The sequence below is a fragment of the Homo sapiens genome, chromosome 18 (genome assembly GCF_000001405.40).
Source record: "Homo sapiens chromosome 18, GRCh38.p14 Primary Assembly".
Taxonomy (NCBI): Eukaryota; Metazoa; Chordata; class Mammalia; order Primates; family Hominidae; genus Homo; species Homo sapiens.
In genome coordinates, this window is record NC_000018.10 from 37,207,671 (window position 1) to 37,221,734 (window position 14,064).

The 14,064-nt window shown below is 40.0% G+C and overlaps 1 protein-coding gene across 23 annotated transcripts in view, besides 2 other annotated features; it reads left to right on the plus strand.

Annotated features, from left to right (window-relative positions):
* Positions 1 to 14,064, plus strand: part of KIAA1328 — a 403,046-nt gene that overhangs the window by 378,544 nt on the left and 10,438 nt on the right. The gene's annotated exons all lie outside the window — the stretch shown is intronic.
* Positions 10,325 to 10,843: an enhancer, noted in NCBI's record as "OCT4-NANOG hESC enhancer chr18:34797958-34798476 (GRCh37/hg19 assembly coordinates)". NCBI's record gives its function as "activates a minimal SCP1, AML or CMV promoter by ChIP-STARR-seq in primed H9 embryonic stem cells {active_cell/tissue: H9 hESC(primed)}" and the evidence as "EXISTENCE:reporter gene assay evidence [ECO:0000049][PMID:30033119]".
* Positions 10,844 to 11,362: an enhancer, noted in NCBI's record as "OCT4-NANOG-H3K4me1 hESC enhancer chr18:34798477-34798995 (GRCh37/hg19 assembly coordinates)". NCBI's record gives its function as "activates a minimal SCP1, AML or CMV promoter by ChIP-STARR-seq in primed H9 embryonic stem cells {active_cell/tissue: H9 hESC(primed)}" and the evidence as "EXISTENCE:reporter gene assay evidence [ECO:0000049][PMID:30033119]".

Here is a 14,064-nt window from a genome sequence, read left to right on the forward strand (position 1 = left end):
ATGCCCTGTGAGGCCACTTCACATCTTAGGCTACAGCCCAAACATCTCTGCAAACTCTCCAGTCACCTGGAGCACGTGAATGGGTCAGAGGGAGCAATTGCCTGTGGTGCAAGAGAACTCATCATTCATTCATTCATTCATAAATTCATTTATTTATTGAGATGGAGTTTCGCTCATTGCCCAGGCTGGAGTGCAATGGCGTGATCTCACCTCACCACAACCTCCGCCTCCTGGGTTCAAGCGATTCTCCTGCCTCAGTCTCCCGAGTAGCTGGGATTACAGGCATGTGCCACCATGCCTGGCTAATTCTGTATTTGCAGTAGAGATAGGGTTTCACCATGTTGGCCAGGCTGGTCTCGAACTGCCGACCTTAGGTGATTTTCCTGCCTCAGCCTCCCAAAGTGCTAGGATTACAGATGTGAGCCACTGCACCTGGCCAGAATTCACCTTTTTAAAATTTAAATTTAAAGGAGCTCACATTCCTCAGATAAAACTTTCTTTTCTTTTTACCACCTTCCCTCCTCCCCCTACATTGGTCTGGTGAGACCAGCAGGCAGAGATAGTAGGAATGGCTGAAAAACCAAGCTTGAAGGATAATCTATGGGCATCAGAAAGTACTTGGGATATTTGAGTTGCTGAATTCAGAAGAGATGTAGTTTTAATTTATGACAAGTTCTAGGATAGGACTATGGGAAAGGCTTGCCACTAAAGTCTTTTGAATTGAGAGAAGGTCAAAAAACTAAGATGTCAGAATATTGACTGAGTGTCATTCTTGTGATGCTGACATTAGCAGGGATGATGGTCAGGGTTAAATTGGAGGCGAATATTGTGAATCAGGTGTTAACATCTTCAGTAATTGGGAGAAAGTGTGTTCACAGATGAAGAGAAGTTGAGGATGACAGAGCAGACGACAGGATCCTCAAGGAAAATAGTAGTATAATGACAGACTGGCCAAAAGAAATGATTCCAGTCCTACCTCTTGACCCTGAAATATATAGCACATGTTTAATATAAATGATTTCCACTCAGACGGATGTAAAGGAAGCATTGACCTGAAGAAAGAGCCAGGTTTCAATTAAAGCTAGGAGATAGAAGGTATAATCTAAAAAGAGTGCACAATATAGCAGTGTATATTGTGAAGCAAAAGCTCCAGAAGCAATGGGAGTGAGGAGGAAGGCTGGGAATAAAGGGAGAGATATTACAGAACATCATGGGACTAGCAGTAGCTTGCTAACCTATGATGGACTGGAATGGGAAGTACCTTCTGGGAATTGGCTGAAGGAACAAGAGACAGTTGATTTAGTCTTGAAGGACTTGTGGACCTAACCTAAGTACTCTTTAACAGGGTATTGGTTGTATTAATGTAAATCAGAGCACATCCAGGAGGTGAAGTAATCTGAAGTCATTAAAGATAATGTAAAAATATCATATGGAAAAATGGTCCCAATATATTAAGTAAAAAAAGTAATTTGCACACATCATATGTGTAAGCATCCTTTTTTTGTAAAAGAAGAATTGATGGATGGGTAACACTTTTCAGAATCTTTGAAATAAATTGATGAGCTGTCTAAAGATTTTTAAAAAGTTGCCCACGGAAGGTGCTGAGCCTTAAGCCGTAAGACCTGTGTTTTTTGTTTGTTTGTTTGTTTGTTTTTGTTTTTCAACAAATACTGAGCACCTACCTTGTGCCAGATACCATGTTTTGCATGGAGATAACAGCAATAAATAAATAACGACCCTACCCTTATGGAGCCCATACCGTTGGGGCAATAGGCTATATATATATATAATGTGTGTATGTGTGTGTGTGTGTGTATTGAGTGATACAAAGAAAATAAAAACCATAAAGCAATAAGGTGACTGTGGATTGATGGCTATTTTGGATGGAGTGGCTAAAGAAGGCCTCTTTGAGGAGGTGACATTTAAACAAAGACGTTGTTGAATGGAGAGAGCAAGCAAAGATCTGAAAGAAGGCATCCTACACAGAGGGTGAAACACATGCAAAGGCCTAGAGGTAAGAATTGAGAATAACAGCAGGTTTTTGGCCTGAGCCACTGGGTTGATTGAGAGGAGTGGGATTCAGAGAAAAAAAAAAAAGAGTTCTGTTTTGGATAGTTTGAGATGCCCATTACACTTCCAAGTAAAGATATCAGGTAGCAGTTGGGAATGTGAGTGTGGAACTCAGGGGCAAGGTTGATATTGGAGCTATTCATTTAGCCATCATTAACATATAGATGTTATTAAATCCCATGAGAATGGATAGCATCACCTAAGATAGGAGAGCAAAGGACTGAGCCCTGGGGCATTCTTTCATTTAAAAGGCAAGAGAGGAAGAGGATGTTGGTGGTATGGAAGGAAAATCAGGAGATGTCTACTGAAATCACAAAAAATCAAAAAAGGAAATGGGAGGGGAAAGGTCCAGTAACATCGTTAGTTTCTCATCAGCTGCAGTCCATGGATGGACCCTGAAATCAGTTTGTTTCTAGGCCATGTGCTAATGTTCTTGGACACCATGTCAAACTGGCCTTTCTTGAATTGGTAACGTGGAGTCAAGTCAAATCAGCAGAGGCTACGTCCTCCTCTGGATTTTGTCTTGTTATCTTGCTAGTTCAGAGGTAAACGAAACTAGAAAGAGAGCTCTAGGAAGACAGAATTAATGCCACTCCAGCTTGGTCCAAATTACCTCCAGGATGGGACTGGCATAGCAGATCAGATAAGCCTTTTGTTTATCACTTCTCCTTAATGAGGCTATTACATTCAGCCTGTGTGCCTAGGTAACTCATGCGTACTGGCTCTGTGAAGTACAGAGGTAAGACAGGCCAATATAGTTAATACCTATGGCTAAAACATCATCTGGGTTTTTCAAGGGATGGTACTTTATGGGTCTGGATAAGTTGTGTGTCCCTTTAAATTATTTGACTACCACACAGCCCCAGCAGGATCAGGCCAAGCTAATCAACTTTATAGTCTCCTATCACATGTCTCCTTAGCAGAGTAAAACACACTGCTCACAGAAGACACCTGATAAATGCACTGCTCTTTTCTGACATTTAGTGTAAAATCCCATAGGAATTCATTTTTTATTTTTCTTTATTGCATATATAATTCTTGTATTAAATTGGGTCATTTCTCAAGCTTTGCTTTTTGGAATAATCTTGGGTATTCTGTTGCTTCTTAATTGCCAAATCCTTTAGTCTTTCCTGATAACAAAAGTACTGTCAATAAACTTATTGAACAAAATTAGCAATGAGGTACAACTGAAATCTGAGCCCTGCTTACCACACACTTTCTGATTCTTCTGCCACAGTCTAATCTATGATTGAATGTGGCTCCTAGAGAGAGAAGTGGAATTTTTAAGATAACAGCATAATCATAAAGATAAACATTTGTACTTGAGTAGATTAATTTGTTGGAGGAAAAGATAGCTCAGTTACAACTAGTTACGCTATACTTTTAAAATAAAATGTAGTTGGTAACAGTAACCTTCTTTTGCTTTTGCTTTAGTGTCACCTCTTACTTTTCTTGATGGAAAGATTGAAGACATTCTAGTCTGGGAAGTCAAGGGGCCTGGGTTAAAAACCACTTGGCTCTGCCACTCACTTGCTCTGTGACTCCATTTAGTTCACTTATACCTCTCTGGACCTCAGTTTCCTCATCAATAAAATAAGAAAATTATTCCAAATTATGTCTAAGACTCATTCCTCCATGGGCAGGCATTAGTAGTGTTTGCCAATATCCAGTTCTCCTTTCCTTCTGGAGAGACGTAACTGGGTTCTGGCCAGTCAGATATAAGGAATATTTTGTCACTTGCATGCTATGGAAAGCCTGTGCACAGTTCTTCAGTCTCTTTTCCTGCCAAGACAATTGAGAAGCCCACATTCTAGGCGATGGAACCACTGTCTGCCTGGACCTAGTTTAAGTGTACAGGATGAGCATGAAAAATAATTGAACTGTATTAAGCCATTGGAATTCTGAAGGTAATTTGCTATTGTATAACTTATCCTAATATGTCAGATCTAATTTTCTATAGTTTGGTGGGTCATTATTTCCATGTTATAAATTTTTTTACTATATTTCATAGTAATGAGTACTCAGAAAGAATTTGAAGCCCACAGTTCTCTTTCAAATGATTGAATATGTTGGTGCCTATTGTATCAGTCTTTAAACTAAACACAAATTCTTATTGTTGCTCTGGATTTCAGTTTGCACCTCTAAAAGGTTTATTTCTGATATATTTACTGTTTCCCAATTATTTTGGCTCTATTTTTTAATAGAGAAAGCAGCAGATTATTTTCTCACTCAGAGTATCCCCCCCTAGCTATTTTAAGCATGAAATTGGATAGAAAAGTGTAGATTTTCCATTGTTTGATTTTAAAAAACATTTAATGATCTATATATTAAGAGATGGATATACCACAAGATTTTCATATGTGTCAAAGGAAAGTTCAAACAAAGCTCATTCCTTGAGCATGAAGTAGGTCTGTCCTGCTTATAAGCAAAATTTCCTAGAAGCAGTACTCCAGTCATTGGTTTACACCTTAAACAAAGAATGTGTTGATTGAACATAGAAACCATTGTTTTGAATGACAGATAACTGTATTGAAATATTGCCTTCATTCTGTGACAATAAAAGCTGCAAAAGAAAAATCTGCCAGAAAGGATTTGAATTTACAGATTTTCATACCATAGAAAATGTCATGACATTTCCATGCCTGAGAAAGTAGTCGAATCTTGCCTAGGACTTGAGGGCAGGGCCAATAACATAACTTGCCAGACCAGTGTAAAATGAAAATGTGGGGCCCCTTGTTCAGAAAGAAGAAGGAAAAAGTGCAATTAAAGGTGCTAGAATATAAAGCTTTTTCCTTTAAAAGGACACCGATAAAGCATGAAGGGTAATAGTAATATATGGATGGTTAAAAACTACAGATAGCAAAAAATTGTATTTTGGGTATCATAATTTTATGTGATAAAATAATAATACTTTATTAATGTGATAACTTGATTAACCTTAAGTTTTTCTGGCTCACTTTCCTTCAAATTTATTTATTTTATTTATTTATTATTTTCTGAGATGGAGTTTCACTCTGTCGCCCAGGCTGGAGTGCACTGGCACAATCTTGGCTCACTGCAACCTCCACCTCCTGGGTTCAAACGATTCTGCTGCCTCAGCCTCCCGAGTAGCTGGGACTACAGGCACGAGCCCCCACACCCAGCTAATTGTATTTTTGTAGAGATGGGGTTTTTCACCATGTTGGCCAGGATGGTCTCAAACTCCTGACATCAAGTGATCCACCTGCCTCAGCCTCCCAAAGTGCTGGGATTACAGGCGTGCGCCACTGCACACACTGCATGAGCCACTGTGCCCAGCCCAAACTCATTTATTAGGTCATCAGAATTTACACTTTTAACAACTTTAGGTGATATAATTAAAAGCAACATCAGTCACTCTTAGCAAATGAGATTACAAAAATTTTTTGTAATTTTTTTTATTTTTATACTTTAAGTTCTAGGGTACATGTGCACAACGTGCAAGTTTGTGACATATGTATACATGTGCTGTGTTTGTTTGCTGCACCCATTAACTCGTCATTTACATTAGGTATTTCTCCTAATGCTATCCCTCCCCGCTCTCCCCACCCCACAACAGGCCCGAGTGTGTGATGTTCCCCGCTCTGTGTCCAAGTGTTCTCATTGTTCAGTTCCCACCTATGAGTGAGAATATGCGGTGTTTGGTTTTCTGCATTTGTGATAGTTTGCTCAGAATGATGGTTTCCAGCTTCATCCATGTCCCTACAAAGGAGATGAACTCATCCTTTTTTATGGCTGCATAGTATTCCATGGTGTATATGTGCCACATTTCCTTAATCATGTCTATCATTGATGGACATTTGGGTTGGTTCTAAGTCTTTGCTATTGTGAATAGTGCTGCAATAAACATGCATGTGCATGTGTCTTTATAGTAACATGATTTATACTCCTTTGGGTATATACCCAGTAATGGGATCACTGGGTCAAATGGTATTTCTAGTTCTAGATCCTTGAGGAATCGCCACACTGTCTTCCACAATGGTTGAACTAGTTTACACTCCCACCAACAGTGTAAAAGTGTTCCTATTTCTCCACATCCTTTCCAGCACCTGTTATTTCCTGACTTTTTAATGATCACCATTCTAAGTGGTGTGAGATGGTATCTCATTGTGATTTTGATTTGCATTTATCTGATAACCAGTGATGATGAGCATTTTTTCATGTGTCTGTTGGCTGCATAAATGTCTTCTTTAGAGAAGTGTCTGTTCATATCCTTTGCCCACTTTTTGATAGGGTTGTTTGATTTTTTCTTGTAAATTTGTTTAAGTTCTTTGTAGATTCTGGATATTAGCCCTTTGTCAGATGGGTAGATTGCAAAAATTTTCTCCCATTCTGTAGGTTGCCTGTTCACTCTGATGGTAGTTTCTTTTGCTGTGCAGAAGCTCTTCAGTTTAATTAGATCCCATTTGTCTATTTTGGCTTTTGTTGCCATTGCTTTTGGTGTTTTAGTCATGAAGTCCTTGCGAATGCCTATGTCCTGTATGGTATTGCCTAGGTTTTCTTCTAGGGTTTTTATGGTTTTAGGTCTAACATTTAAGTCTTTAATCCTTTTTGAATTAATTTTTGTGTAAGGTGTAAAGAAGGGATCCAGTTTCAGCTTTCTACATATGGCTAGCCAGTTTTCCCAGCACCATTTATTAAATAGGGAATCCTTTCCCCATTTCTTGTTTTTGTCAGGTTTGTCAAAGATCAGATGGTTGTAGATGTGTGGCATTATTTCTGAGGCCTCTGTTCTGTTCCATTGTTCTATATCTCTGTTTTGGTACCAGTACCATGCTGTTTTGGTTATTGTAGCCTTGTAGTATAGTTTGAAGTCAGGTATCGTGATGCCTCCAGCTTTGTTCTTTTTGCTTAGGATTGTCTTGGCAATACGGGCTCTTTTTTGGTTCTATATGAACTTTAAAGTAGTTTATTCCAGTTCTGTGAAGAAAGTCATTGGTAGCTTGATGGGGATGGCATTGAATCTATAAATTACCTTGGGCAGTATGGCCATTTTCACAATATTGATTCTTCCTATCCATGAGCATGGAATGGTTCTTCCATTTGTTTGTGTCCTTTTTTATTTCATTGAGCAGTGGTTTGTAGTTCTCCTTGAAGAGGTCCTTCACATCCCTTGTAAGTTGTATTCTTAGGTATTTTATTCTCTTTGTAGCAATTGTGAATGGGAGTTCACTCATGATTTGGCTCTCTGTTTGTCTGTTATTGCTGTATAGGAATGCTTGTGATTTTTGCACATTGATTTTGTATCCTGAGATTTGCTGAAGTTGCTTATCAGCTTAAGGAGATTTGGGGCTGAGATGATGGGGTTTTCTAAATATACCATCATGTCATCTGCAAACCTGGACAATTTGACTTCCTCTTTTCCTAATTGAATACCCTTTATTTCTTTCTCTACCTGATTGCCCTGGCCAGAACTTCCAACACTATGTTGAATAGGAGTGGTGAGAGAGGGCATCCCTGTCTTGTGCCAGTTTTCAAAGGGAATGCTTCCAGTTTTTGCCCATTCAGTATGATATTGGCTGTGGGTTTGTCATAAATAGCTCTTATTATTTCAGGATACATTCCATCAGTACCTAGTTTATTGAGAGTTTTTAGTATGAAGGCTGTTGAATTTTGTTGAAGGCATTGTCTGCATCTATTGAGATAATCATGTGGTTTTTGTCTTTAGTTCTGTTTTGTGATGGATTACATTTATTGATTTGCGTATGTCGAACCAGCCTTGCATCCCAGGGATGAAGCCAACTTGATCGTGGTGGATAAGCTTTTTGATGCGCTGCTGGATTTGGTTTGCCAGTATTTTATTGCAGATTTTTGCATCGATGTTCATCAGGGATATTGGTCTAAAATTCTCTTTTTTTGTTGTGTCTCTGCCAGGCTTTGGTATCAGGATGATGCTGGCATCATAAAATGAGTTAGGGAGGATTCCCTCTTTTTCTATTGATTGGAATAGTTTCAGAAGGAATGGTACCAGCTCCTCTTTGTACCTCTGATAGAATTCGGCTGTGAATCCTTCTGGTCCTGGACTTTTTTTGGTTGGTAGGCTATTAATTATTGCCTCAATTTCTGAGCCTGTTATTGGTCTATTCAGGGATTCAACTTCTTCCTGGTTTAGTCTTGGGAGGGTGTATGTGTCGAGGAATTTATCCATTTCTTGTAGATTTTCTAGTGTATTTGCTTAGAAGTGTTTATAGTATTCTCTGATGGTAGTTTGTACTTCTGTGGAATCGGTGGTGATATCCCCTTTATCATTTTTTATCGCATCTCTTTGACTCTTCTCCCTTTTCTTCCTTATTAATCTTGCTATTGGTCTATCAATTTTGTTTCTTTTCAAAAAACCAGCTCCTGGATTCATTGATTTTTTGAAGGTTTTTTGTGTCTCTATCTCCTTCAGTTGTCCTCTGATCTTAGTTGTTTCTTGCTTTCTGCTAGGTTTTGAATTTGTTTGCTCTTGCTTTTCTAGTTCTTTTAATTGTGATGTTAGGGTGTTGATTTTAGATCTTTCCTGCTTTCTCTTGTGGGCAGTTAGTGCTATAAATTTCCCTCTACACACTGCTTTAAATATGTCCCAGATATTCTGGTACGTCATGTCTTTGTTCTCGTTGGTTTCAAAGAACATCTTTCTTTCTGCCTTCATTTTGTTATTTACTCAGTAGTCATTCAGGAGCAGGTTGTTCAGTTTCCATGTAGCTGTGCAGTTTTGAGTGAGTTTCTTAACCCTGAGTTTGAATTTGATTGCACCGTGGTTGTGATTTCTGCTCTTTTACATTTGCTGAGGAGTGCTTTACTTCTAACTATGTGGTCAGTTTTGGAATAAATGTGATGCGGTGCTGAGAAGAGTGTATATTCTGTTGATTTGGGGTGGAGAGTTATGTAGACATCTGTTAGGTCCGCTTGGTGCATAGCTGAGTTAAAGTCCTGGATATCCTTGTTAACCTGCTGTCTCGTTGATCTATCTAATATTGACAGTGGGGTGTTAAAATCTCCCATTATTATTTTGTGGGAGTCTATGTCTCCTTGTACTCTCTGAGGACTTGCTTTATGAATCTGGGTGCTCCTGTATTGGGTGCATATATATTTAGGATAGTTAGCTCTTCCTGTTGAATTGATCCCTTTACCATTCTTTGATTGCCTTCTTTGTCTCTTTTTTTTTTTTTTTTTGTCTTTGTTGGTTTAAAGTCTGTTTTATCAGAGACTAGGATTGCAACCCCTGCTTTTTTTTTGTTTTTTTTTTGTTTGTTTTTTTTTTGCTTTCCATTTGCTTGGTAGATCTTCCTCCATCCCTTTATTTTGAGCCTGTGTGTGTCTCTGCACGTGAGATGAGTCTCCTGAATACAGCACACTGATGGGTCTTGATTCTTTATCCAATTTGCCAGTCTGTGTCTTTTAATTGGGGCATTTAGCCCATTTACATTTAAGGTTAATATTGTTATGTGTGAATTCAATCCTGTCATTATGATGTTAGCTGGTTATTTTGCTCGTAGTTGATGCAGTTTCCTCCTAGCATCGATGGTCTTTACAATTTGGCATGTTTTTGCGGTGGCTGGTACCGGTTGTTCCTTTCCATGTTTAGTGCTTCCTTCAGGAGCTCTTGTAAGGCAGGCCTGGTGGTGACAAAATCTCTCAGCATTTGCTTATCTATAAAGGATTTTATTTTGCCTTTACTAATGAAGCTTAGTTTGGCTGGATATGAAATTCTGGGTTGAAAATTCTTTTCTTTAAGAATGTTGAATATTGGCCCCCACTCTCTTCTGGCTTGTAGAGTTTCTGCCGAGAGATCAGCTGTTAGTCCAATGGGCTTCCCTTTGTGGGTAACCTGACCTTTCTCTCTGGCTGCCCTTAACATTTTTTGCTTCATTTCAACCTTGGTGAATCTGACAATTATGTGTCTTGGGGTTGCTCTTCTCAAGGAGTATCTTTGTGGTGTTCTCTGTATTTCCTGAATTTGAATGTTGGCCTGCCTTGCTAGATTGGGGAAATTCACCTGCATAATATCCTGAAGAGTGTTTTCCAGCTTGGTTCCATTCTCCCTGTCACTTTCAGGTACACCAATCAAACGTAGATTTGGTCTTTTCACATAGTCTCATATTTCTTGGAGGCTTTGTTCGTTTCTTTTTACTCTTTTTTCTCTAAACTTCTTGCTTCATTTCATTTGTTATAGCCACAGGAGTTAGAGAAAATGCCACACTTTGAGACAAATTAAGAGTCCTTTATTTAAGCCGGCGGCCAAAGAGATGGCTAATGCTCAAAATTCTCTTGGCCCCGATGAAGGGGCTTAACTTTTATACCTAGGTTTAGGAAGGGGAGGGGGACTTAAATGCAATAACTCTACAGAAGTAAAAACATGCAAGAATCAAAAGAAGCAAATGGTTACAGAGAAATGAACAATTTAAAAGACAAATGGTTACAAAAAGAGCAAGGGTACCAGGTGCAAGGCTCTAAATCCTTCATTATAGTTAGATATAAATGCTATGCCAGACAGGAACTCAAGGCTTTGTGTTGTTATCTCTTTGAGCAAAACCCTGGGAACTTCATACATTGTTTGCTCCAGTATCTTACCAGTTAATTGGGCTCCTTTGAAATGCTGAGGATCTGCTTACACAGGTTAACTCCTTAAGGAAGGGGGTTGGGTAAGGAGCCCTTAATGTCTTGTAAATCAAGAGGTCAAATGGAGTTTGTCCGGCTTTCCCAGCCAGGGAGAGTGTATTCATATGGGAAACATGGCTGGCAATTAAGGAGACAAAAAAAGGAAAATTTAAAGTAGTGAGCTAGAGTAAAAAACAAGGTTAGGCGTTACACATTCATTTGATCTTCAGTCACTGATACCCTTTCTTCCACTCGATGGAATCAGCTTCTGAAGCTTATGCATGCGTCACGTAGTTCTCCTGCCATGGTTTTCAGCTCCATCAGGTCATTTAAGGTCTTCTCTACACTGTTTATTCTAGTTAGCCATTCGTCTAATCTTTTTTCAAGGTTTTTAGCTTCCTTGAGATGGGTTCATACATCCTCCTTTAGCTTGGAGAATTTTGTTATTTCCAACCTTCTGAAGCCTACTTCTGTCAACTTGTCAAAGTTATTCTCTGTCCAGCTTTGTTCCATTGCTGGCGAGGAGCTGTGATCCTTTGGAGAAGAGGCACTCTGGTTTTTAGAATTGTCAGCTTTTCTGCTCTGGTTTCTCCCCATCTTTGTGGTTTTATCTACCTTTGATCTCTGATGATGGTGACCTACAGATGGGGTTTTGGTGTTGATGTCCTTTTTGTTGATGTTGATGCTATTCCTTTCTGTTTGTTAGTTTTCCTTCTAACAGTCAGGTGTCTCAGCTGCAGGTCTGTTAGAGTTTGCTGGAGGTCCACTCCAGACCCTGTTTGCCTGGGTGTCACCAGCAGATGGCTGCAGAACCGCAAATATTGCAGAACTGCAATATTGCTGCCTGATCCTTCCTCTGGAAGCTTCATCTCAAGGGGCACCCAGCTGTATGAGGTGTCAGTCGGCCCCTACTGGGAGGTGTCTCCCAGTTAGGCTACACAGGGGTCAGGGACCCACTTGAGGCAGTCTGTCCGTTCTCAGAGGTCAAACACCATGCTGGGAAAACCACTGCTCTCTTCAGAGCTGTCAGGGATGTTTAAGTCTGCAGAAGTTCCTGCTGCCTTCTGTTCAGCTCTGCCCTTCCCCCAGAGGTGGAGTCTACAGAGGCAGGCAGGCCTCGTTGACCTGCGGTGGGCTCCACCCAGTTTGAGCCTCCTGGCTGCTTTGTTTACCTACTGAAGCCTCAGCAATGGCAGATGCCCCTACCCCTGCCAGGCTGCTGTCTCGCGGGTCGATCTCAGACTGCTGCACTAACAGTGAGCAAGCCTCCGTGGGCATGGGACCTACTGAGCCAGGTGTGGTTTATAATCTTCTGGTGTGCCATTTGCTAAGACTGTTGGAAAAGCGCAGTGTTTGGGTGGCAGTGTCCCTATTTTCCAGGTACTGCCTGTCATGGCTTCCCTTGGCTAGGAAAGGGAAGTCCCCCGACCCCTTGCGCTTCCTGGGTGAGGTGATGCCCCACCTTGCTTCGGCTTGCCCTCTGTGGGCTGCACCCACTGTCCATCCAGTCCCAATGAGATGAACCAGGTACCTCAGCTGGAAATGCAGAAATCACCCATCTTCTTTGTCGATCACACTGGGAGCTGCAGACTGGTGCTGTTCCTATTCAGCCATCTTGGAACTGTATCCCCCAATTTTTTCTAATTTTTAATTTTGAGGAGGATCTTTCTGTTGATGCAACTGACAGTGGAGCTGCTAAGAGTATTTTGTAGGCTGTGCCAACATTTGCATAGATTTCTAATAAAGTATTTCCAAATATGAATTTTAGTTTATATAGAGGTGATTATTCTTGGGGATCAGATTTTCTAAAAAGATTTAACTCTTCATACACATTAGTTTCATACATGTTGGAATTTAATTTTAAATACAAATCTCTATGATGTCATTTTAATGTTTTCTCTAGCATGTTCTGTAACATATAAAGATCATATAAGAAACCAAAAATCACTTAATGATTTGTCTATAATTCACAGTGCTTGTTTATGCTTTCTATAGCAGCATCTTCAGTTACAAAGAAAAATTAAATTTAAAAATTGTATTCCTCATTAATAATTGGTTCATTAGAAATTGCATATGAGAATAGTGGGTTTTTTCCTATCAAATGCAACAATCTTTAATTTTTATTTCCAAACCTGTGGATGTTCGCTTTCCAGTGTTGTAGCAGTTTTTAAAACCAGAGATTCTAAACTCTTTGAAGGCTTCTAATATATCTCTGATATGCTTCATTGTAATGTCCACGTGTATGTTTTTATTTTCTAATAATTTACTGGCATTTATACTTAATGCTAGCAGTTCCTATCCCAGTTCTCAGGCCAGAAAGATGACATTTTTGCCACAGGGATGGGCTTGGGAAACAGACAACCCAGCCTCTCACCACTGCTGCTTCTGCCATTGTCACCACCATTAATTTGGAGCTAGGTTCTGGCCCCAGCTATCCCCTTAGGGCCCTATGTGGTACTCCAAACTGTTTTTGTTTGTTTGGTTGGTTGGTTGGTTGGTTTTTTGTTTGTTTGTTTGCTCTATTGCCCAGGCTGGAGTGCAGTGGCACGATCTCAGCTCACTGCAGCCTCCACTTTCCAGGTTCAAGCGATTCTCCTGCCTCAGCCTCCTGAGTAGCTGGGGCTACAGGCACATGCCACCATGCCCGCCTAATTTTTGTATTTTTAGTAGAGACAGAGTTTCACCATGTTGTCCAGGCTGGTCTTGAACTCCTGACCTCAAGTGATCCACCCACCTCGGCCTCCCAAAGTGCTGGGATTACAGGCATGAACCACCTCACCCGGCCCCCAGAATGTTTTTTTACCTCTAAGCTGCTCTGCACTTACCCTTTCTGAAAAGAATGCTGGACACAAGGCAGTCTTTCTTTGGAGGGATGTCTTTATAGATTTAGAATCTTTTCCCAAACTTCTAGAAAAAGTGGAAGGGGGTTAACAGGAAGGAACTAACATTTATTCAGTGCCTATTATGTATTCATTTATATCAATGAATTCATTTAATCCTAACTGGAGTTTTGCTAGCCTCTTACACATGAAAAGACTGAACTGAGACACTGAATAACTTCCCCAATATTACACAGCTTGCAAATGGTAGAACAGAGATTTGAACCAAGCGTGTCTGTCTGTGAAGATTTCGACAGACAGCTTTAGTGTCCTGGATGAGAGTGCTGGAGACAAACCACCTGGGTTCAATTCTAGACTCTGCTGTGTAATTGCTTTCTGTTAGATGAGTTACTTCCCTGAGCTTTAATTTCCGCATGTTTATAATGGAGATGAGAGTAGTATAGTACCTACTTCCTAGGGTTCATTAGAGGATTATAGGAAGGTTAAATATTTGTAGTGTTAGGAACAGTGCCTGACAGTAAGCCTGCAGTAAATGTCACTGTTAATATCATTA